This window comes from Homo sapiens, chromosome 7 (assembly GCF_000001405.40).
Source record: "Homo sapiens chromosome 7, GRCh38.p14 Primary Assembly".
Taxonomy (NCBI): Eukaryota; Metazoa; Chordata; class Mammalia; order Primates; family Hominidae; genus Homo; species Homo sapiens.
Window position 1 is genome coordinate 116,234,944 of NC_000007.14, and position 24,333 is coordinate 116,259,276.

The window sequence follows — 24,333 nt, forward strand, 5'->3', positions numbered from 1 at the left end:
TATTTGTTACTTTTTTTTTGAGACGAAGTCTCATTCTGTCACCTAGACTGGAGTGCAGTGGTGTGATCTCAGCTCACTGCAACCTCCGCTTCCTGGTTCAAGCGATTCTCTTGCCTTAGCCTCCTGAATAGCTGAGATTACAGGCTTGTGCCACGACACCTGGCTAATTTTTCTTTTTTGTATTCTTAGTAGAGATGGGGTTTCGCCATGTTGGCAAGGCTGGTCTCAAACTCCTGACCTCAAGTGATCAGCCCACCTCAACCTCCCAAAGTGCTGGGATTACAGGCGTGAGCCACCATGCCTGGCCCTGTTTAATAATTTAATTATTCTCTTCTTAAAAATTGGTAACTTTACATCTCATGTCTACATTTTCCGTAAACAAATATGAATACTGAATCAAGCATGTATATGTTAGTTATCAGGAAATGAAGTTGAATTTAGATCTCTTTAAAATTTTTAGCTGTAAAGTTACTAGTGAAAAACCATTGAAACACTTGAATTTTTTTAAGAAAAAAATTAATTGTAGTGTCTTGGTTTGAATGAAGTGCATATATACACAAGACAATGTTAGTGAGTCAAAAATGTGAATTTTCTATAGATCTTATCTTTAGGTTGTTTTGAAAGTACTACTGCATATCATATAAATCTAAAATCAGTATTTGAAACCTGTGCTTATGAATGACTGTCAAGTCCATAGTGGTAATTCACAAGTCTGCTCAAAGTTAGAATTAGCAGGAAAAAAAAATAAAGATAACTATACAGTTTTAGGATGGCAGCTACCTTGTTAGGATGACTCTCATTTGAGAAACACTTCTGTACTACAGATTTCCACAGGAAACCGTTTAGAATACTTTCATCAGCTCTTGGAGATGTGTACAGTGTAAATTAAAGGAGAATATAAACAAATAAAATTTTAGACATTAATCTCTTTTAAAAACTAGTTTATTGAATCAGTTTTCAGAAACAAAGATAATTGTTTAAAATAGGAAAGTCAGTAGAAACCTGCTAGAACTGATACAGTTCTTCAGTTTTGATACAATTCTTCAGTTTTAGGGAGCTAAAGTTTTCCAGAATTTTTTTTTACAAGACTTAAGCAGCTCTCCCTTGTGCTGTCTCTTCAAGGGACATAGAAGTGGCAGTATGTCTCTCATGTTTTAAAAAGGTAAAGTGACTTAACACAAAATAGTTTTCATGAATTAGAACATCTCTGCTCTTAATGCTCACACTATTTTCTATTGGGCCTATTAGTTAACTTTACAGAAGGCTGCACTGCCCTCTCCTGGGCATAGTTTTTACCTTACAATCTTATAATACATAAAATCCAAAATCCAAAATGCTCCAAAACCAAAACTTCTTGAGTGTCAACACGATGCCACAAGTGGAAAATTTCACATACCTGACCGTGTGACAGGTTGCATTCAAAAATGCATTCAAACCTTTGTGTCTTGTACAAAATTATTTAAAATATGTATAAAATTACCATCAGCTTATGTACATAAGCTGTATATGAAACAGAAATTAATTTTATGTTTAAACTTGGGCCCTATCCCCAAGATATCTCATTGTTTATGCAGATATTCCAAAATTTAAAAAAAATTTGAAATCTGATACACTTCTGTTTTATTTTACTTGTGAAACATTTTGGGTAAGAGATACTTAACCTGCATTCTTTTTAGTTCTGCTATGCAGTTGCCAAAAACCGCTCGTGAGATTTTAAAGCTCATTCCTAAGAGATATCATCTTTTCTCTAAAGCAAGTTAGTCATTTTTGTTATGTCTATATTAATCATTTTAATCGATATTTTCAGATGAAAATATATCCGACAAGAGCAGATCTCCATGGCATGAAAATAACCTTTTACATTTCAATTTATCACACAGACTCATTTAATCAACTGGGTGTAGTCTGAAAATCTAAGAGCCATAATAGTCTAGGACTTTGCATATGGCCTGTCATTCAGCTGGGGTTGATAACAGTCCACCCCATTGGTATTTCTTAGTAGTTCTGACATCTTCCTGGCATGGGTCCAGTCACATTTCTCTCAGAATTCTTGATAATTCCCTGACTTTTTCACCATAGCTAAAAGAGCTGAAGCAGGTGCCTTTGACCTCCCTATGTAGCCTCTTTCAGTACAGTCTTTGAAGTAAAATATTCTAGACTAGTTGTCCTGAGTGTAACAAAGATTCCAGGTCTAGTCTAGGGCCACAGAACTTATGTGGGTGAAGTAGACATGGGATCCCATGACCCTGCCCACTTAGCCTCCTCCTCCAGCTTCATGGTGATCCTTGACTTAGGACCCTGAGGGCTCCATCGGGCACATTTCAAAAATCAGAGTTAAATTATTCTCTACCTCTTTATTAGTCTGGCCTCTCACACAATCACAAGAATGGTCTTTTGAACATGGATACTATTACATACTTCAGATGACTTAAGAACCCTCAGTAGTTTCCCACTGGACTTCTTTTAGGCAAATTTCTTGGCCTTTGACATTAAACCCTAACATCTGGCCTCTGCTTGCTTTTCCAGCCTCTTCCACTTCCCTTCCAAGCACTCTATGATCCAAGTGCTTGATACATACTATTCCCTGAAATTTTGTGCCTTATTGCATGGTGTTCTCTGCCTGGAAAACCCTACCTCCCACCACTAGGAAACAAAAAGTCTCAGCTCAAGAAATACCTCTGAGAAGTCTTCCCTGCCCATGTATGTCTTTTCAGGCTGCCATAACAAAATATCACATACCTGGTAGTTTAAACAGAAATGTACTTTCTTCCAGTTCTAGAGGCTGGAAAGTTCGAGATCAGGTGCCAACATGGTTGAGTTCTGGTGAGGTCTCTCTTCCTGGCTTACAGACGGCTGCCTTCTCACCACGTGCTCACATGGCCTTTCCTTGGTGTGTGTGGGTGTGTGTGTGTGTGTCTGGAGAGGAAGAGATCTCTCTCCCTTTTCTTATAAGGTCACCTATTCCAATGGATTGTGACGTTCACCTTGTGACATCTTTTAACTTTACTTCTTAAAAGCCCCTGCTCCAAATACAGTCACATTAGGAGTTTGAGCTTCAGCATATGACTTTGAGGAAACACAGTTCAGCCCACAGCACCCCCTTCCCCTGCTTCCACATACCCCCAAGTTGTTAGGAATCATTTTCCTTTTTATCACCTTGTATACTTACAGAAAGCCAGGAGATAAATACCCAGACCTCATTCTTCATCACTCTGATTTTCTGCTGGCACCTCCCATTGTCCCATTGCCAGTGACAAGGGATCCCACAGGTGTAGTCCTTAAGGATCAGCCTTCTGGGAAATAGCACAGAGTACTGAGGCATGGAGAATGAATCTGGAGAGGTGAATGGAAGATGCCGGATCAAGGTGTATCACCATAGTTGCAGGAGACTAAAAATTAATTATTAGGAATTTAGAGTGAACTTGTAACTTAACTAGTCTAACCTCATTTTACAGATCAAAGACCTAAACCAAAGGAAGTTAAAATGACTTGTTTGAGCCCATGAGTTATTAATAATATAATTTGTGAATGATTTCTATGTGTCACACACCAGTAAGCACTTGTAATAATTTTCTACTGCTGCATAACAAATTACTACAAACTTTGCAAGTTAAAGCAACAACTGTTAACTCAACATCCATCATTATTATTATTATTATTATTATTATTATTTTTGAGATGGGGTTTCACCCTTGTTGCCCAGGCTGGAGTGCAATGGTGCGATCTCGGCTCACTGCAACCTCTGCCTCCTAGGTTCAAGTGATTCTCCTGCCTGCCTCCCGAGTATCTGGGATTACAGGCGCCCGCCACCACGCCCAGCTAATTTTTTCTATTTTTAGTAGAGACGGGGTTTCACCATGTTGGCCAGGCTGGTCTCAAACCCCTGACCTCAGCAGATCCACCAGCCTCAGCCTCCCAAAGTGCTGGGATTACAGACATGAGCCACTGTGCCCAGCCAACATCCATTATTTTTCAGGTTAGAAGTCTGGGATAGGGGAGCTGGCTTAGCTGTCTATGCTTAGCACCTCAAAAAGCTGAAATGAAGGTGTTGGCCAGGCTAAAAGTACTCACCTTTAAGTGCGAGGGAAGAATCTGCTTTCAAGCTCATTCTTGTTGGTAGAATCTATTTTCTGTGGTTGGAGAACCAAGGTCCCTGTTTCCTTGTTGGCTGTCAGCTGGGGGCTGGCTACTCTCAGCTTCTAGAAACCAGTCACATTCATTGAGGTACAATGCCTTCCATCTTCAAAGCCAGCACCACTGCTTAGAATCCTTCCTGCACCTCACATGCCTCCAACTTCCTCTTCTGCTGCGAGCCAGAGAAAATTCATTGCTTTTTAAGGGCTCACATGATTAGAGTAGGCACGCCTGGAAAATCTCCCATTTGCCATATAAAAGTAACATAATCATGAAAGTAACACCAGGGGACAGAAGTCATAGGGGCCATGTTAACATTCTGCTTACCACAGCACTGTATGTACCTGATTGTACCTAATCCTCCTAATATTTATTTTATTATGTATGAGAAATCAAAGACGTAGGAAAGTTAAATAACTTACTAAAGTTATGGCTTATAGATGGCAGAGCTGAATTTGAACTCAGAGTTTTCCAAAACCTTTCTCCATGGCAGAGTAGATATTAGAATGCACATTTTTCACTCTCAGGGCCAGTGAACTTTGAACTGCACCAGGCTGTCGCCTCTGAAGTGTGATTGTTGTGACACAGACATCCTTGTGGACAAAGGTGTACTTTTACTGTGAGCTCTCTCCTTTTTCAGTGTGCCCATGATTACAACAGTAGAGGAAAATAAAAGGTTCAGGAAGCCTAATAATGACCCAATAAGAAACACTATCTGCTGGGAATGCTTTCAAGTAATATATAGAGATAAAGAGTGTTTATTGAAATGTATGACACAGACCCAAGGTTTCCAGGAGTTTATAGCCAGTTATTTCACATTGAAGGTATAATTAATATAATTGCAACCATGTCATTTATCATATTAAGTAACAGAATTATTGTTTTGCTTTACCTTTGTTAAAGTCTCCTAATAAAACAGTTGCATTTTATTAAAAATGCGTTACTTGATTATAACATACATCTGTTCAGAATTTCTGATTGATTTAGAGCTGGGTGAAAACTAAAAATTCCCTACCATAAATGGATTAATACTTGTGTTGAATTCTGTCACAGAGGCCCACACTTAAATCCATATATGTATATCCCTGTTACAAAAGGGCAGCTTCCAACCCTTTTAAATTATGGTTTGTAGCAATGCCATGGCCGTGCTTTTAAATCACTGTGAATGCTGGCAGCATGTCAAAGCACTCTAGTTTCTACTGCTTGCCTTGGAAAAATAGTAAGTTTTACAAATAGTGATACAAAAAAATTTCTTTTGGGAGAATAAAGGATAGTTTCTTGATTTTTTTCAGCTTGAAAATGTAAATATGTTTATTTGTCTGAGGCAATACTTTTGGTAGTTTTGTTCTTGCATTCGCTCTCCCAGGCTCGCTCTTTCTCTCTCTCTCACTCCTTCCCTCCCCCTCGCTCCTCCCTTTCCTCCATACATATTAATGTTTGCATATATATGTGTTAATGGTGCTAAATTCTTTTTGTACAAACAACTTTTTATACAAATAACCCTCCTCCATCCCCACACCTTAGAGCTTCCCAATCTGCCAATCCACCTTTGCACCTTTTTAAAAGAATCATGAAAAAGACTTTTAAACTAACTTAATTCTGAATCCCCTTCCCTTTTTTTCCCCATAGAACTTTTCTTAACATCCTATGGAGAATCTGGAGAGAGAACTGCTCAATAGGACAGTTTAGAAAATTTAGAGGTTTGAAAACTGTGTTAAATATGGGAACTGATTTATATACTCTCTTAAAACTATCAACTCAGTATAGCACAAATAAATAAACAAGCTGTTTAAATCTATATATATCATCAGAAGTTACTTATGGATCATCTGATGAAAGATAATCCACACACCGTGCAAACAGCCCCTTGCACATGGGTATTGTGCTCACCCATACTCTGTTTGTGTTTTTGTTTTAGGTTTGTATAAAACCACGTTTTTAAAGTTCTTCATTTTCTTAAGGGTAGAATCTGGGTTAGTTTAGGCTGAAATTGAATATGTGATAAACGTCCCACTTATTCTCAGGCCGCTCTTGGATAACAAGATCACAGTGGCATCCTTTTCTTCTCCAATTCCACAACAAGGTTTTTCTTTTAATAAATGTATTGGATTGCTTCCAAATGACTTTGAAAGTTTTTATAGGTATTTCTAAAAGTAAAATGTTTTAGTTTAAATGTGGGAGACTCAAATATAAAACACTGTAGATTAGAACTCTAAGAAAAATATTTTTAAAACCTAAAACTAGGTAAGTGGTAATAGCACAGATTTCCACAATAGATAGCTCCTGGCACCTGGTGCTGATTTTATAGTATGTTTTCTTGCAGAGTAGTTTGTAGCTGGCTCTTCTCCTTGTAGAAATGGAGCTCCAGTGTAAGGCTTCTGGAAGGGATGTGGTCATCCCAACTGTTTTAATGATGACAGCTCTAGTTGAAGAGCCATCCCACCCTTCTTGGGTCACATTCTTACCAAGGACTCTGTCACCACAATTCACCACATTGGAGGATGCAGATGAGGCTTTTAATATAGTCATGATTTTTAAAATTATAACAAATCAATCATAGGTTTTCTCTACTTAGGAAACTGAAAATTATATGGCATAGTATGACTTCTTAGGTATTTCTTTTTTCTTACCACTAGCGTTATTGGTATGTTGTTTTAACCTGATTTTACTCACTTATTAACAAAGGTATGTTGGGTGGTTAAAGGCATTGATAGAAAAGCAGAGGCTTCCTGAGATTGTGAATTCTTCTAATTGTCAAGACAAATAATAATTTAAAAAAATACAGAGCTGGTTCTTCTATAATTAGTAAATTTAACTCTTTATATTTAACACTTTCACAGTAAATATAACTTTTTTAACCAAGCCACAGCTCACCATAGTTTATTCATGCTTCAGAAATCATCAGGCTTTATTTCACTTGTATCTTTTATTATTTATCTTTCAGATTCTAAAATCTGACCCTTATTTTGTGGTATTCATGTTGTACTGGTGTAGAACATAGATTGTAAAAATTTCCAAAGTCCAGTGTTTATTATACGGCCTCGATCCTTTAAGATACCACTTTGCTAATTATTGGGATGCATGCTGTAGCTCACAGCCATATAAGGATCTATTTAGCTATATTAAGAACTAAATTCCCACTCCACCTTCTTCCCCCCTCAGGAAGGTATAATTTTAAACTTGAACCAAAAGCAGTGTGATAGTTTTATAAATAATTACATTGTTTTTGTTAACCAAAGAGTAAAAGTAAAGAACATGCTGTAGTAGGATAACTTGCTGCTTTCCACTAGATGGGAGTATGAGATAACCAGATGTTAGAAAGATTATTTTATAGCTGAACTAGCATATGCAAATTCTTCAACAAATTCTTACCAAATAAAGATTTCTGACTAGTGTGCACAAGGAAAGCAATTTGCCTCTTCACCACCTATCTCTCTCTCTCTCTCTCTCTCTCTCTCTCTGTCTCTGTCTCGGAATATACAAGTCAAATCTAATATTTTCAGTTTGCATACTGAAAAGTATTTTAAGAAAATTCAGAATACAACAAACTAAAATCTATAATTAATAATGTATTATTTGGCAATGAGATACATTTGGGTTTTTAGTTGTTTTTTCTGTTTCTGATGTAGATAAATTCCATGATTTATATTAATTTTAAATTTAGAAAACTTAGTAAATTCTTCTTAATGCTAATTAATACATTGCATTTCTCTGTGGTCATAGCATCTGTGAATAGCAACAGTTTAGTTTTTTTCTTTCTGATGAATTCTTGTAACTTTTCACACTGCTCTGATTAGTACCTTCAGAACCATATGATTAGAATTGGTGATAGCAAGGTTGCTTTCTTGCTTCACATCTTAAAACTAATGCAGTAAGTATGATCTATGCTGAGTGTCTGGGTTTGTTCCCCCCATGCCTCATCCTCTAGGAACTCTTTCTAGAATAGTTTCTATTTCCTTTTACTAGTTTCTGCTATTCTCTTTATTTTCCTTCCTTTTACTTCAGGCTTATTATGCCTTTTTCCTAACTTCCTGAGTTGAACACTTAGTACTTTATTTTTTCCTTTTTTCTAATTTGAGTGTTTTAAACTATAAATTATTTAGTTATCTAGTTACTTCAACATGCATTCTTAGCCTAATTGTATCTAATGTTAATCCATGTTTATATAGACTGAACAATGTAAGTATCTTTAGAATGTGTTTTACAACACTCAGATCGCCACTCTTATTGTTATGTTGTCGTTGCCATGTATATTGCTTCCAGCTTAAATTTTTAACACCACTCCCTACTCCTCTGTTTTTCTCTGTCACCTTTTCCAGCTTCTTTTCCTCTACTAGACTCTTTCTTGAGTCCTTACTTTTTCCCTCTACATTTTTGCCAACAGGCACAGATGATCTCTTTAACTCATATTCATTATATATTGTTCCCTGACCACCAAATTTATATTTCCTACCAGGCTACAGTTTTTAACATGAGAGTTATAGATCCTACACTCTGTGATATCTTTACCTTGTCTCACAGGCATATCAAATTTATCAGTGGTTTCATTTTGGAGACTTCCATCAACCTTCCCCACTCCATACTGCAAAACTGTTCATCTTTTGAATATACTATCTTAATAAATTATATTCATTCTACTAATTTACTCATCCCAGAAACTTGGTTTTATTTTTCAAGAGACTGAGTGTATTAGTCTGCTCTCAGTTAGTCAAGACATACCCAAGACTGGGTAATTTATAAAGGAAAGAGCTTTAATTGACTCACAGTTCAGCATGGCTGGGAAGTCCTCAGGAAACTTACAATTGTGGCAAAAGAGGAAGCAAACACATCCTTCTTCACATGGTGGCAGCAAGAAGTGCCTAGCAAAAGGGAGAAAAGCCCCTTATAAAACCATTAGCTCTCATGAGAACTCACTCACCATCACGAGAACAGCATGAGGGTAACAGGCCCCATGATTCAGTTACCTCCCACCATGTCCCTCCCACAACACGTGGGGATTATGGGAAATACAATTCAAGATGAGATTTGGGTGGGGACACAGCCAAACCATATCATTCTGCCCCAGCCCCTCCCAAATCTCATGTCCTCACATTTCAAAACACAATTATGCCCTTCCAACAGTCCCCCAAAGTCTTAACTCACTCCAGCATTAACTCAAAAGTCCAAGTCCAAAGTCTCATCTGAGACCAGGCAAGTCCCTTCTGCCTGTGAGCCAGTAAAATTAAAAGCAAGTTAGTTACTTCCTAGATACAATGAGGGTACAGGCATTGGGTAAATACAGCCATTCCAAATGGGAGAAATTGGCCAAAAGAAAGGGGCTACAGGCCCTATGGGAGATCAAAATCCAATAGGGCAGTCATTAAACGTTAAAATTCCAAAATGTCCTTTGACTTCATGTCTCACATCCAGGGTGTGCTAATGCAAAAAAGGTGGGTTCCCATGGCCTTGGGCAACTCCGCCCCTGTGGCTTTGCAAGGTACAGTCCCACTCCCAGCTGCTTTCATTGGCTGGCATTGAGTGCCTGCAGCTGTCCTTGGATCTCCCATTCTGGGGTCTGGAGGATGGTGGCCCTCTTCTCACAGCTCCACTAGGCAGTGCCCTTGTGGGGACTCTGTGTGGGGGCTCCAACCCCACATTTCCCTTCCACACTACCCTAGCAGTGGTTCTCCATGAGGGCTCTGCCCCTGCAATAAACTTCTGCTTGGACATTCAGGCATTTTCATACATCCTCTGAAATCTAGGCAGAGGTTCCCAAACATCAGTTGTTGTCTTCTGCATACCTGCAGGACCAACACCGTATGGAAGCTGCCAAGGCTTGGGGCTTGCACCCTCTGAAGCAATGGGCCAAGCTATACCTTGGCCCCTTTTAGCCACCACTGGAGCTGAAGAAGCTGGGATGCAGGGCAGCATGTCCCAAGGCTGCACAGAGCAAGGGATCCCTGGGCGTGGTCCACGACAGCATTTTTCCCTCCTAGGCCTCCAGGCCTGTGATGGGAGGGGCTGCTGTGAAGCTCTCTGACATGCCCTGGAGACATTTTCTCCATTGTCTTGGTGATTAACATCCGGGCACCTTGTTACTTATGCAAATTTCTGCAGCGGGCTTGAATCCCTCCCCAGAAAATAACTTTTTCTTTTGTATCGCATTGTCAGGCTGCAAATTTTTCAAACTTTTATCCTCCGTCACCTCTTGAATGCTTTGCTGCTTAAAAATTTCTTCCACCAGACAACCTAAATCATCTCTCTCAAGTTCAAAGTTTTGCCCCTGCCTACAGATTCTAGGGCAGGGGCAAAATGCCACCAGTCTCTTTGAATAGCCAGAGTGGCCTTTACATCAGCTCCCAACAAGTTCCTCATCTCTATCTGAGACCACCTCAGCCTGGACTTCATTGTCCATATCACTATCAGCATTTTGGTAAAACTCATTCAACAAGTCTCTAGGAAGTTCGAAACTTTCCCACATCTTCCTGTCTTCTGAGCCCTCCAAGTCTCTAGGAATTTCCAAACTTTCTCACATCAACCTGTCTTCTTAGCCCTCCAGACTGTTCTAACCTCTAGCTATTACCCAGTTCCAAAATCACTTCCACATTTTCAGGTATCCTTATGGCAGCACCACACCCTTTAAAGTACCAGTTTACTGTATTTATTAGTCTATTCTCATGGTGCTAATAAAGACATACCTGAGACTGAGTAATTTATTTATAAAGGAAAGAGATTTAATTGACTTACAGTTCAGCATGGCTGAGGAGGCCTCAGGAAACTTACAAACATGGTGGAACGCAAAGCAAACATGTTCTTTACATTGTGGCAGCAAGGAGAAGTGCCGAGCAAAAGGGGAAAAAGTCCCTTATAAAACCATCAGCTCTCAAGAGAACTCAATCACTATCATGAGAATAGCATGAGGGTAACAGCCCTCATGATTCAATTACCTCCTACCACATCTCTCCCACAACACATGGGGATTATGGGAACTACGATTCAAGATGAAATTTGGGTGGGGTCACAGCCAAACCATATCACTGAGCCTTCCCTTTGCCATCACTATGTCCAAATAAACCACTAAGTTTAGTCAGTTTTTTGTTCAAGGAGACCTCAAATTTCTTCCTTTCTTTTCATCTCCACTGTTGAATACTCTAATCCAAGCCATAGCATATTTTACCTGGACCACAACAATAACCCTCCAAGATGTAAATTCCATTTGTGAAGTAGTGGCAGCATCCTGTTATTTAGAACCATGCCATTGCAAACTGGATGCATAATTAACATGTTAGCTTGTCTCCCTATTGCCAGTTATGTTTCACCCCTAATCCATTTACCACATGGCAGATATTGTGATATTTAAAATTACAGATCTGATCATTTTATTCCATTACCAAAAAGCCTTTGCTGCTTCCTGATTGCTCTTATGATGAAGCCCAAATTCCTTAATGTGTTCTATGAGCCCCTGCATGACTTCATGCCTACCTCTCCAGTCTTATCACCCTCCTATTGACTCATCTTCCTACAGTCATACCAACCTCCCCTGGTTATGACACCTAAGGGGACAATTTCTTTCCTAATTCAGGACCACTGAAGGTATTCCTCTTTATACCCAATACTAGAGACTTTTCTTTCCTTTTCTCCTCCCCAGATACACACCCACATACACAGTTTACACCTATGTTTCATACATCGTCCAGATCTCAACCTAAATATCATCTTCTTATGGGGTCCCTTCTTCACGAGTTTGAAGTCCAAATTACACCCTCTCAAGGGACCCTATACTTTCTTTCCTATCACAAATGAAATTTTCTCTGTGTATGTGTGTGTGTGTGATTATTTAATGTCTATCTCCCACCAGAGAGTAAGTTCTAGAAATCAGAGACTAGGCCCCTTTTTTTTTTTTTTTTTTTTAAGCACTATGTCCTAGTGTCAAGTACATTGCTTGGCACATGGGCACTCGTGTATGTTGCATGAATGAATGAATGTCTGTGTGCCAGACCAGAGTGAAGAAGAGAACATTGTCCTTGAACTATAAGAAACACCATGATGGCAGAGAGCACATGGTAGGTGGCAATAAGTGTTTGAAGAAATAAAATAAGGGAAGGAAAGAGAAAGGAAAAACAAAGGGAAGGAAATGGAGGGCAAAAGAAATTGAGAAAAAAATGAGAAAGGCTGTAAACCTAAATCTAGGATTATAATCTTTGATGGGAAAAGTTTCCCTGTCTCTCACTAAAAAAACAAACAAACAAGAAACCTTGGATAATAGCTATAAAATGTTAACATGCAATAAAGTACAAAGCCTCTTGCTTAAATAAGGAAACATATAATTTTTGTGGTTTTATTTAATTCATTTCTTTTTATTATTTATTTTATTCACTATTGGGTGACAGCATAAGGAATATCAGATGGGGTTACACTCAGACATGTCCCTTTAAGTGTGCACTTTTTAATCAGTCTTTTTTTTTAATGGTACAATTGAAGATGTCTATTATTGGGGCCATCACCACTTCTTTCAGTGAATTCATTGAAAAAATCTTGGTTGGTTTTGATAAAAATCAAATGAATAATTGCTTCTCGTTATCATATCAGAAATGCAGATGCACGTTTGGTTGACAAAACACACTGAATTTGTTAAAATACTTACTTAGAAAATTCAGTTGAAACGTTATGGTACCATCTAAATCACAAAACTTAATTCAGTAATTTCCAAAAATACATTATTAGTGACTGATAATTCTGCTGCTTTCCTCTTTTTTTCACCTTCCATTTTAGGTTCAGAATGTACCTGTGCAGTGCAGGTGTTTTACATGGGTAAATTGCATGTTACTGAGGCTTGGGTTATAAATGATCCCATCACCCAGGTAGTGACCATAGTACCTGAGAGTTAGCTTTTCAAACGTTTCTCCCTCTCACCCTCCCCACTCTAATATTCCCTAGTGTCTGTTAGTTCCATCTTTGTGTCCATGTGTACTCAATATTTAGCTCCCACTTATAAGTGAGAATATGTGGTATTTGGTTTTCCTTTCCTGTATTAATTCACTTAAGATAATGACTTCCAGCTGCATTCATTTTGCTTCAAAGGACATGATTTCATTCTTTTTTTATGGCTGCATAGTATTCTATGGTGAATATGTTCCACATTTTCTTTATCCAGTCTACCATTGATGGGCGTCTAGGTTGATTCCACCATGTCTTTTCTATTGTGAATACTACTGTGATAAACATACGGGTGCATTGTCCTTTTGGTGGAACAATGCATTTTCCTTTGGGATTGCTGGGTTGAATGATAGTTCTAAGTTCTTTGAGAAATCTCCAAACTGCTTTCCACAGTGGCTGAACTAATTTACATTCTCACCAACAGTGTATAAGCATTCCCTTTTCTCCGCAACATCTGTTATTTTTTGACTTTTTAGTAATAGCTATTCCGACTGATGGAAGATGGCATCTCATCATCGTTTTGATTTGCATTCCTTAATGATTAGTGATATTGAGCATGTTTTCATATATTTTTTGGCCATATGTATATCTTCTTTTGAGAAATATCTGTTCATGTCCTTTGCCCATTTTTTAATGGGGTTGTCTTTTGCTTGTTGAATTGTTCCTTATAGATTCTGAATATTAGACCTTTGTCAGTTGCAGGATTTGCAAATATTTTCTTCCATTCTATAGGTTGTCTGTTTGTCCTGTTGCCAGTTTCTTTTGCTTTGTAGAAGCTCTTCAGTTTAATTGGGTCCCTCTTTCAATTTTTACAACCTAGCTTTTAAAAGCCTTATCAAGCAAAGTCGTGTTTTGTTTCCTTCTTGCTTAAATATATGGATACTTATTCTCCCTCCTAAAAAAGGACTTGCCTTTGCATACCATGATATAGAATAGGCCTAAAAGTATTTTATGAACTATAAATGTATGAACATAAATATCAATTAGGTACAATTAATCATTTTCTACTTATTTTCAAAATTATAGAAAAATATGTCGTAACTGCAAGTGTGGCCAAGAAGAGCATGATGTCCTCTTGAGCAATGAAGAGGATCGAAAAGTGGGAAAACTTTTTGAAGACACCAAGTATACCACTCTGATTGCAAAACTAAAGTCAGATGGAATTCCCATGTATAAACGCAATGTTATGATATTGACGAATCCAGTTGCTGCCAAGAAGAATGTCTCCATCAATACAGTTACCTATGAGTGGGCTCCTCCTGTCCAGAATCAAGCATTGGTAAATGATATGGAACAGAGAGTTTCTTTATTGAAGTTCCTGGAGTATTTATTTGGGGCAGTTTCTTTGATGACCTAATCAACTTCACACATCCCAGATCTGTTATTCTTCCGGGGTTCTCATTACTTTGACTTCTGATTCCTGTTCTAGTCTTTTGAATGTAAGACTAGATACTTCATAAAATTTTTCCAACTCCCTAGATATGTTTACCTTTTTGAGGGAATGGTCTAACGTTCTTAATAATTAGATGGAAATCAGATGTTTTATATCAATCTAGTAACTCTTCTAGCTTAGTCTTGAGAGGATTTATCTTAAGATGGTAAAGAAGAGAATTTTTGTCATAGTTTAGAACTGAAAAAAATATTCAACATTATCTTTGTGTTTTTTTCATTTCCTTTATTAATACTATATAAGACCAAAAAGATCACAGTTTTATATCAAGCTCCTTCCACTATTATAACAACCAAATGAAACATTTGGAAGTCTTTTAAGGTTAGTTAAATCATTAAAGTGAATTTTGCGATATCATTTTTTATGTAATAAAAATGTTCCTGGTCCTACAGACCATTCCAAACATGTCTGCCTAAAAGTTTATGTTTTCTTTCAATTGTACATTTGTTTATTTAGCTTAAGTAAACAGTAGTAACTCAGATCTTACAAACTGAAAAAATATATAATTTCATGGAGAGAAAGTGTTACTTTTTACCCAACTAAATCTATTTAGTGTACCGTTTTTGAGTTTTAACTTCTTAATATACTGTGAGGGTGAGTTGCTGCTATTGGATAGAACCCACTTCTTTCTTAAGTAACTTGCTTCTGATGTGTGTTATGAAACATCACACTGCCTAATGGCCAATCCCAGTTAACATTGGCCTCCTTGTGGTTCAGGCCAGGCAGTACATGCAGATGCTACCCAAGGAAAAGCAGCCAGTAGCAGGCTCAGAGGGGGCACAGTACCGGAAGAAGCAGCTGGCAAAGCAGCTCCCTGCACATGACCAGGACCCTTCAAAGTGCCATGAGTTGTCTCCCAGAGAGGTGAAGGAGATGGAGCAGTTTGTGAAGAAATATAAGAGCGAAGCTCTGGGAGTAGGAGATGTCAAACTTCCCTGTGAGATGGATGCCCAAGGCCCCAAACAAATGAACATTCCTGGAGGGGATAGAAGCACCCCAGCAGCAGTGGGGGCCATGGAGGACAAATCTGCTGAGCACAAAAGAACTCAATATGTAAGTAGAGTGGTCACACTGTTAGCCTGATTTGTATACTTTACAGAATTTTTTTCCCTTACTTTGAACTTTTTTGGGGACTATTCCTCTGAGTTTCCAAAAGGGAATAAGTATGGGGAATAAATAGGATTTAGATTCAGTTTAGACTTCCCACAGAGGGTCATCGTGTTTGAAACTTCTGTCTAAAGCCAAATTTTCTATGTATTTATTATCAAGGATAATTGTGGATAGTGAGTTTTATGTACAGACAGTAGTTGGTATTGGCATGCTGATCAAAGACAGCATTATTATTCTATAGTCTGTTTCTAATCATAATGTTGGTATTAATTGCTTATCTCTGCTGCCCATAAATAGGAATATATGCTTAGGTTAATTCAGTTTTGCTTGTGAGAACGTGCCTAAAATTCAAACTTAAATTTAATTTTTGTGGATATATAGTGAAGCTTTTTTTTAAGTCTCTTCTAAAGGGAGAAATTGAAGTATTTTGCTAATGACTTGATGGTAGGAGGCAATTATGACACAGATGAACAGACATAAGAACTAAACCTGCTGTAATATATTCCTCATAGCTCCAGTTAGCACACCAACCAATAAGGCTTAGTCCTGAAAAAAGAGCACTAATAAGCCCTGAGGTGATAGTTTTAGAGAATCTACTTAAAATTGACCTGAAAATTACTATTTTCCTTTTTCCATAAGTGACCTTAATTCAGGAAATAATGCCTGTTACACACAGGGTGAATGAAGTAGATTTGAATAGCCGGGAGAAAGCTGAGATTCCATTTCACAGAATTATTAATACGTTATTATCTACATCGACAAATTTGTAATTTCAGTAGAAATTATGTCTCTTCAAAGTTGTTTCTCTGAATTTCTACTGAAGTCAATGATAAGAAATGGCAGTCTTAGCTGGGCACAGTGGCTCACGCCTGTAATCCCAGCACTTTGGGAGGCTGAGGCGGGTGAATCACGAGGTCAGGAGATTGAGACCATCCTGGCTAACACGGTGAAACCCCGTCTCTACTAAAAATACAAAAAAATTAGCCGGGCGTGGTGGCAGGCGCCTGTAGTCCCAGCTACTCGGGAGGCTGAGGCAGGAGAACGGCGTGAACCCAGGAGGCGGAGCTTGCAATGAGCCGAGATAGCACCACTGGACTCCAGCCTGGGCGACAGAGTGAGACTCAGTCTCAAAAAAAAAAAAAGAAAGAAAGAAAAGAAATGGCAGTCTTCTAATGACTAGGTTGTTCTGGATGGCTTCCCTTTCAGTCCTGCTATTGCTGCAAACTGAGTATGAAAGAAGGTGACCCAGCCATCTATGCCGAAAGGGCTGGCTATGATAAACTGTGGCACCCAGCTTGTTTTGTCTGCAGCACCTGCCATGAACTCCTGGTTGACATGATTTATTTTTGGAAGAATGAGAAGCTATACTGTGGCAGACATTACTGTGACAGCGAGAAACCCCGATGTGCTGGCTGTGACGAGGTATGTTCTATGGGACCACCGGCATGCTGGTGCCCTCTTAGACCCTCATATGGTCCCTTTACCTAGAAGGCAACAAGACTTGACCAAACAGCAGTTGCTCTGTTTACATCCAAAGAAGTTTTAAAAAATAAACTTCTGATATCATTCATTCTGTCTGTGTTAATTGGGTTGACAAATGAAAGACTAGAAATATAAAAGATTGATTTAGACTAAACTAAGTGATAGCATAAGTTCAAGCTTTAGGTTATCATTTTCAAACTTTAGACCCTGAGAAAGTATGTTGTTACAGATATAAATCTCTTATTATATAAAAATCCATCTTTATTTTTATCTTCTTCCTAGCTGATATTCAGCAATGAGTATACCCAGGCAGAAAACCAGAATTGGCACCTGAAACACTTCTGCTGCTTTGACTGTGATAGCATTCTAGCTGGGGAGATATACGTGATGGTCAATGACAAGCCCGTGTGCAAGCCCTGCTATGTGAAGAATCACGCTGTGGTGAGAAGTGTTCTAAGGATATGGTTGCCTCAGCCTGCTTTAGGACTTGAGTTTATGCTTTTCTTAAAGCCTCTTACAAATGGGAAACAGAAAGCAGTCCTCCTAAGTAGAAAGCAAATTATTCCTACCACAGGGTGTTAAAATCAAGGCAATTCAAAAACAATACATGCATTGACTATGAGCCACCTCAAGATTTCTACTTGTGAAATTTACAATATCAATTATAGGTACTGCTTAATAATAAAATCCTCACTTAAAAAAATTCTTAATGGGAATGAGATTGTTTTATTTTCATGGTTAGCAATCAGATTCCATTTCAATAAAGGTGTCTAGGGGCTATTGATATTCTTTAGCTCTATTTGAATATGATGCTTTCTGTTTGTGTTATTGGACCACCCACTGGAATTTTGTTTTTGCTACCTGGAGATTGTAAGATACCTATTTCTTAAACCCTCATTGAATTGATTTAGCATAACAAAACTTGGCCTGCGTATTTAGATTTTTGTGTGGGCCAAACATTCCAATGTGAAAGTATATTTTTTCTTGCATTTACTCTGCTTACACAGAGCTGCTGTTGTATAATGGCCAAGTGATGGTAATGTAGATAAAGGGTAAAAAGTTGACCATAGATGGTAAAGTGTATAATCCAGGAGTATCCAAATAGACATTTACTTCTTTATATGCAGCAAAACACATATGTGTTAATGGTCCCCTGAGCTATCAAGTAAAAGGGACTCCTGGCTAAGGAATGAAATTACATATGGTTTATATAGTTATATATAGTTATAAGAGTGTGGTACTGTGAAGATAAGGTAACAAGTTTTTATGTCAATGCCAATTTTCAGCGTTCACCCATTGCCCCAGATACAGTTATTCATTCTCTATCAACTGTGCCTCACCAATATATTTCACATTCTTATAATTACAACCATTCTACTTTAGACCTTTTTTTTTGTTGTTATTTTGACTATTGCAGTGGCCTCAAATTTCGTTCCTCCACTTTCATTCATCTTGCTCAAAAGCTACCCACCATAATGATGGAAAATTATCTTCCTAAAATGCAAATTATTAAACTTTTGATAGATCTGGCCCCTTCTTGCCTCTCCTGTCCCTTCTACTAGTTATCCAACGCAAATCATACATTTCCACACGTTCACCATCATTTTCTAGTTTACACACTGTTGTCTTTTGCTTACTCCTAATAGTTTTTCTAATACACCGTACTTTTCCCTGTTTTACCTGACTGTACCTACACATTTATTCCTTTAGATTCAGTTTAGGTTTAACTTTTTTTCGGAACACCTTTCCTGATTCACTATGCCCAAACTCCACCATTTCCTCCAGACTCTCCATGTTCCCAATGGTGTGTGTGTGGGTGGGTGTGTGGGGGTGTGTGTGTGTGTGAATATCATTCATCTGTCTCCTTCACTAGACTGTAAGCAGCTGGAGGGTAGAGCTTGCCTTATATCTTGCTTTCTATATCTTCAGTGTCAGCACTTAGAAAATGTTTGAGTGACTGACTCGTGTTCTTAATATTTCTCGCTTTGGGGTTACCATGGTCATTCCTTTACCTAGGGAACAAGACGTCAAATCACCATGTAACCTGATACATTATTTAGCTAAAAACTGCTTCAATGAATATTGTTGCAACAGTTTTTCTACAGACTAAAGGTATTATAATGTATACCTTTTTTTTTGCTGCTGTCTGACCTTTAGTCTCAAGGACTAGAATGTAACTCCATCAGGGCAGGGATTTTTTTATCTGCCTTTTCTATTCTGTTCCCAACACTAGGACAACATAGGTGCTCAATAAAAATTTATTGAAACAGATGAAACTGCTTTTTTTTCTTTTTTTAGCTGTTACAAGCTTCTCTGTATTACATTGTTTCTAATCAATGGCAGGGTATAACCACAGATATGATTTGTTTAAATAAAAGAATTTTCAAATTATTTAGTTTTATAGCATAGCATCATTTTGGCCAGGCATGGTGGCTCACGCCTGTAATCCCAGCACTTTGGGAGGCCAAGGTGGGCGAATCATGAGGTCAGGAGTTCGAGACCAGCCTGGCCAACATGGTGAAACCCCGTCTCTATTAAAAATACAAAAAAATTAGCTGGGCGTGGTGGCAGGTGCCTGTAATTCCAGCTACTTGGGAGGCTGAGGCAGGAGAATTGCTTGAACCTGGGAGGTGGAGGTTGCAATGAGCCGAGATCCTGCCACTGCACCCCAAGCCCAGGTGATTGATAGTGCGACACTCCGTCTCAAAAAAAATATATATATATGTGTGTGTGTGTGTGTGTGTGTGTGTGTGTGTGTGTGTAGCATCATTTCTTTTATGTTTACTTTCTCAGTGGGATATACCATTGGCCTTTGCCTAATATTAAAATGAGCATACATATCCATTGCCAGAACAGATTCCAGCTAACAGCAAAGAGAGCTACCCACACAGCATGCTACATTATATAAAATTTGGAGAAGGTTATCTAGTTCAGGGCATTGATCTGCTTAGATCTTTTCATCTTAAAGAGAGAAAATACAAATTATTTTTAGACCTGAAATCAAGTGCTCAACTCCAAACAACATTTCTGAGAAAAAAAAAAAAAAGTACCTGGAAGGAAAAAACATGGCAGATGCACCTACTTTGTCTCTGTGTAGTCACTAGAACTCCATAGTTACCCCCAGAATTCACATCCGTCAGATTCATAGGACACTCCTGCAGAGAGCTCATTACAACAGGTGTCATTAGCTCTTTTACATCCTGTGTACAAATAAGAAGAGGGATTGAAGGAAATAAGAATTCTTTGAAATATTAAAGGTTTAGGAACATGGGAAGATCAAATGGCAGGCAGGAAGTGGTGAAGCACATCATCTCCCTGAAGGGTTCTGCAGTCCCCAGGCCCTTGGCGCAGCCTGGGCCAATTTTAGATTTTTGAGGAATTAGGGAACAGTAGATTCGACCTGTGATTACATGTCAGATTTTGAATGAATGGTAATCAAATTATTAGTAAAATGAAATTTTATGAAACCCCAGACTTTAATTCTCTATACCATTTATGTGTACTAATTATCTTTTTGCTTAATTTTCTTAATTTCATGTGTAATTGAACATTAGTTATCTCTTTTTTGTAAATTGCAACTGAAAATGTGTGTTTTGGGTAATTTTAAAAAATCACAGGTCTGAGAAAAAGAAGATAGATCATGGTCTGAAAGCAAGGGAATAAAACACACGGTGTATTTTACAAGAACACATTCAAAATACATAAACAAGAAATATTGAAAGACTGTTCTTATCACAAGGAAATCATAAATGTTTAAGGAGAGGGATATCCTAATTACCCTGATTTGATCACTACACTATGTATACATGTATTGAAACATCACATAGTACACCCATAAATATGTACAATTATGTGTTGATCATAAATTTTAAAATGGAAAGATTAATATGAAATGCAGAAAATAAGACATTCTAAATGCATAATAAAGCTATAAAAATATATACAAAAAGCAGTTGCTTGCATGGTGCAGCTGCACATTAGAAATGTGCTTGTAATTGAAACGTTCATTTTTATAGTATTCAGGAATAGTGTGTTGATCAAAGAATTTTCATTGTATCTCAGGGAAGACTGGGTTGACCTAACTTATAGATTACAGAGCTATAATCTCTGTAATCAGAAGCAATGTAACAAAAATATGCAGGTCTGAAATGGACATATATAACCAGGCCTCACTTCACTGCCTAAACCAATTACCCAGTGAGTAGCAGCCACATTTTGAAGTCTTTTCAAGTAAGGAGGCTCAAGCTGAATGACCTCCACTCACCTGTTCCCACCCCTTATCCCTCAGTAATTCCTGACAATCACATTACGAGACCAAGGGTGCTTAAGATTAGTCACTGTGATACCAGACAGTCTTGCTGGCTTCTTCACTTGTTATGAAATATTTAAAACAAAAACTTTAAGACAGCCATATTCATTCAGAACATGTATAAACTATAAGGCATGGACTATCCAGTGTTTCAGAGGTCCGAACTGGTTTTCTGTTTTCTGCTATAACATAGGTTATTTATTCATTTTCCTCATGTGCATGTTTGAATAAGAAGAAAATTTTGTGGTGTAAATGTATGTATGTTTGTGTATGTATATACATGTTTGTATGTCATGTATATATACATAACACATACTGAATGGTACAGGGATTGTAAGTATTAATGTTCTACAATATTAGATTACACATAAATTATGACTGATCTTATGACAGAATAGAAGCCAATTAACTACAAGTTATATTTTTAGTGCAAATTCATTTTTCTCAAACACTGTCAGTATTTTTAATTGAGTCCTTAATTACTTTGAACATGATTTTAATTTACTACTGTCTAGAAATTAGTGGTGTTAATAATCTCATGTGTCATAGGTAAGACAGGTAAAATTACCACTTCAAAGCTTTAATGAACAAGGAAAAATCATAAACTTCTGTGTAATTACAAATGTGCAATCTAATAAAATACATCAGAACTAAGCACACTGCTTTGGAACTTCCCATCAAGACTTTCTGCCTTGAATGCCATGAAGTTATCTTACATGCATCAAATCACCTGTTTGGCCTTCACTCGTTATTTCTCAGGCTGCTCAGAATATTGACCTCCATTAACAGTTGGCCAAAAAGGTTAGCTAGAAGGCCACCCTCCATTGTGTATTTCTGAGGTTGTCATTATGAGTTTTAATTTATCATCTAAAGAAATATGTCCTAAGATGAAAATGTTACCATTACAGCTTGATCTCTCACCCTCTTCTCTTGTATTATTTCTTAATAGGTGTGTCAAGGATGCCACAATGCCATCGACCCAGAAGTGCAGCGGGTGACCTATAACAATTTCAGCTGGCATGCATCCACAGAGTGCTTTCTGTGCTCTTGCTGCAGCAAATGCCTCATTGGGCAGAAGTTCATGCCAGTAGAAGGGATGGTTTTCTGTTCAGTGGAATGTAAGAAGAGGATGTCTTAGGAGGAGGGCACCCAGAAGTATCGAGCCATAGCTATCCAAAGTGGTCTGCATTTCTACTGTAAAATGCAATTTGAAAAAAATAAAACGCAAAAAAAGAAACTGTAAAGGAAACCAAGAGATTTTGTTTAATTTTTTTGGCCATTTTTTCTTCATCAATTTTTTTTCGGTCTCAACTTTTAAACTTGGTTTAAGCATTTGATTTGTAAAACAGTAAATAATTGTATCTTTCCATAGCTTTTCAAATGTGAAATCATTTTTGGAAGCTTGGATCTCATTAAACTTCATGTCTCTATTCCATTTGTGCCACACACTTAAAAGTTAGTGTACTGAATGGAAAGATGAGCATTCCTAGTTCTACACTTCTTTTTTCCCCCTCATGTGTAAAATGAAAAGAAAACTAAATTTGCCCTAATACCAAGGCGCTACGTTTATTGCCTCGTCTTATTCACTGACCTTTGTAATGATACACAGTGAATTCTTTTTGACAAAGAGAAATGCAGTGTAGTATGCAGAGCTGCTGTTTTAATGCCTATGCATTTACTCTTTCCTGATTTAGGCAGAGGTGGCATTTTCTTTATTGCATTTCTCTATTTTTTTAATGTACCCTACCTTCAGTATTCTCTTTGTAAGTTGGTGACTTGCATCTGTGGCCTTGAATATTTTATTATCACATGTGGCATAACAGTATCCACACTTTTTAGTTCTTTATTTTTTTTTTTTTATTTTGAGCAATTCTCCTGCCTCAGCCTCCCAAATAGCTGGGATTACAGGTGCATGCCACCACACCCAGCTAATTTTTGTATTTTTAGTAGAGACAGGTTTTCACCATGTTAGCCAGGCTGGTCTCAAACTCCTGACCTCAGATGATCCGCCTGCCTTGGCCTCCCAAAGTGCTGGGATTACAGGTGTGGGAGCCACCATGCCTGACCCACACACTTTTTACTTGTATAGATGATTTTTGGCTTGGACATAAAAGCCAAGCCACCCATTTGCTTTTAATCCAAAGAACATGTATAGTTTTTGTACCCAGAGACTATGATTTATATTGATTGCACTTGCCTGCCATGATTTAGATAAGATTTTTTTTGCATGGTTTTTATTCTTTCCTAATGGATCCTGTTTTATAATACTTCCAAGCCTGTCCATGGATATATCAAATGTCTTCACTTGTATATTTTCATGGCTAGGTATTTCTAATGTTTATTCTTCCCTGTGTACTTCTACACATAGCTATGCACTATGAAAATTAAATGGAATGAATGATATGTATATTACTCAAAATAAAGTTTCTTTCACTTTAATAATCATTGTATCTTTTTATTCATATCCTTTTTTGAGTGAAAAATGCTTCTGCAACTAAGCATGTGTTACAGCAGGGGGCGATGTCTCCAAGGATAAAAATTACCCAAACGAAAATAAAAGTCTGCCTCTGACAGGACAGCACAGAATCTAGATGTTTCATTATGGAGAAAAGATAAGGTTTATGAAACTTTCAAATCAGGACTTTTAAGTTTGGTCATGCAAGAGTTTTTTTCTTTTTCAAAGAAAGGGAAAGTAATTTTAATTAAAATTTGGGAGAGCTTATTTTCTATTCAGTTGGATCTAACAAGCCTTTTATACTTGGGTTTCAACTCTGGTTTCTTTATATGTAAAAAATATTAAAAGAAGAATTTTTTCATGGAAACTTATCGTGAGACAGAAAGCAAATGGGGAATAGTGGTAGACTCATGCTTCCTAATGTTAGCAGGCCATAATACTTTCTCCCTCAGTCTACAATTATTTCTGTCATAGTGG

At 37.7% G+C, this 24,333-nt stretch overlaps 1 protein-coding gene and 1 long non-coding RNA gene across 5 annotated transcripts in view; one reads left to right on the forward strand and one right to left on the reverse strand.

Annotated features, from left to right (window-relative positions):
* Positions 1-23,840, forward strand: part of TES (testin LIM domain protein) — a 48,245-nt gene extending 24,405 nt beyond the window's left edge. For both annotated transcript variants that reach the window (NM_015641.4, NM_152829.3), the window contains exons 3-7: positions 14,077-14,329; positions 15,218-15,553; positions 16,817-17,032; positions 17,375-17,533; positions 22,351-23,840. In NM_015641.4, coding sequence (NP_056456.1) covers positions 14,077-14,329; positions 15,218-15,553; positions 16,817-17,032; positions 17,375-17,533; positions 22,351-22,539 — 1,153 coding nt within the window. In that variant the 3' untranslated portion in view covers positions 22,540-23,840. The remainder of the gene's footprint in view (positions 1-14,076; positions 14,330-15,217; positions 15,554-16,816; positions 17,033-17,374; positions 17,534-22,350) is intronic.
* LOC124901730 (uncharacterized) lies at positions 925-22,361 on the reverse strand. Of its 3 annotated transcripts, none has more exons than XR_007060484.1 (4): positions 20,175-22,361; positions 8,899-8,993; positions 4,072-4,303; positions 925-3,333 (listed from the first exon to the last, which is right to left on the reverse strand). It is a non-coding gene; the product is annotated as an uncharacterized LOC124901730 (long non-coding RNA). The 3 variants fall into 3 exon arrangements; XR_007060483.1 differs by having other exon boundaries at positions 925-3,389; XR_007060485.1 differs by having other exon boundaries at positions 4,072-4,306.
* Positions 23,841-24,333: the final 493 nt, after the last annotated feature.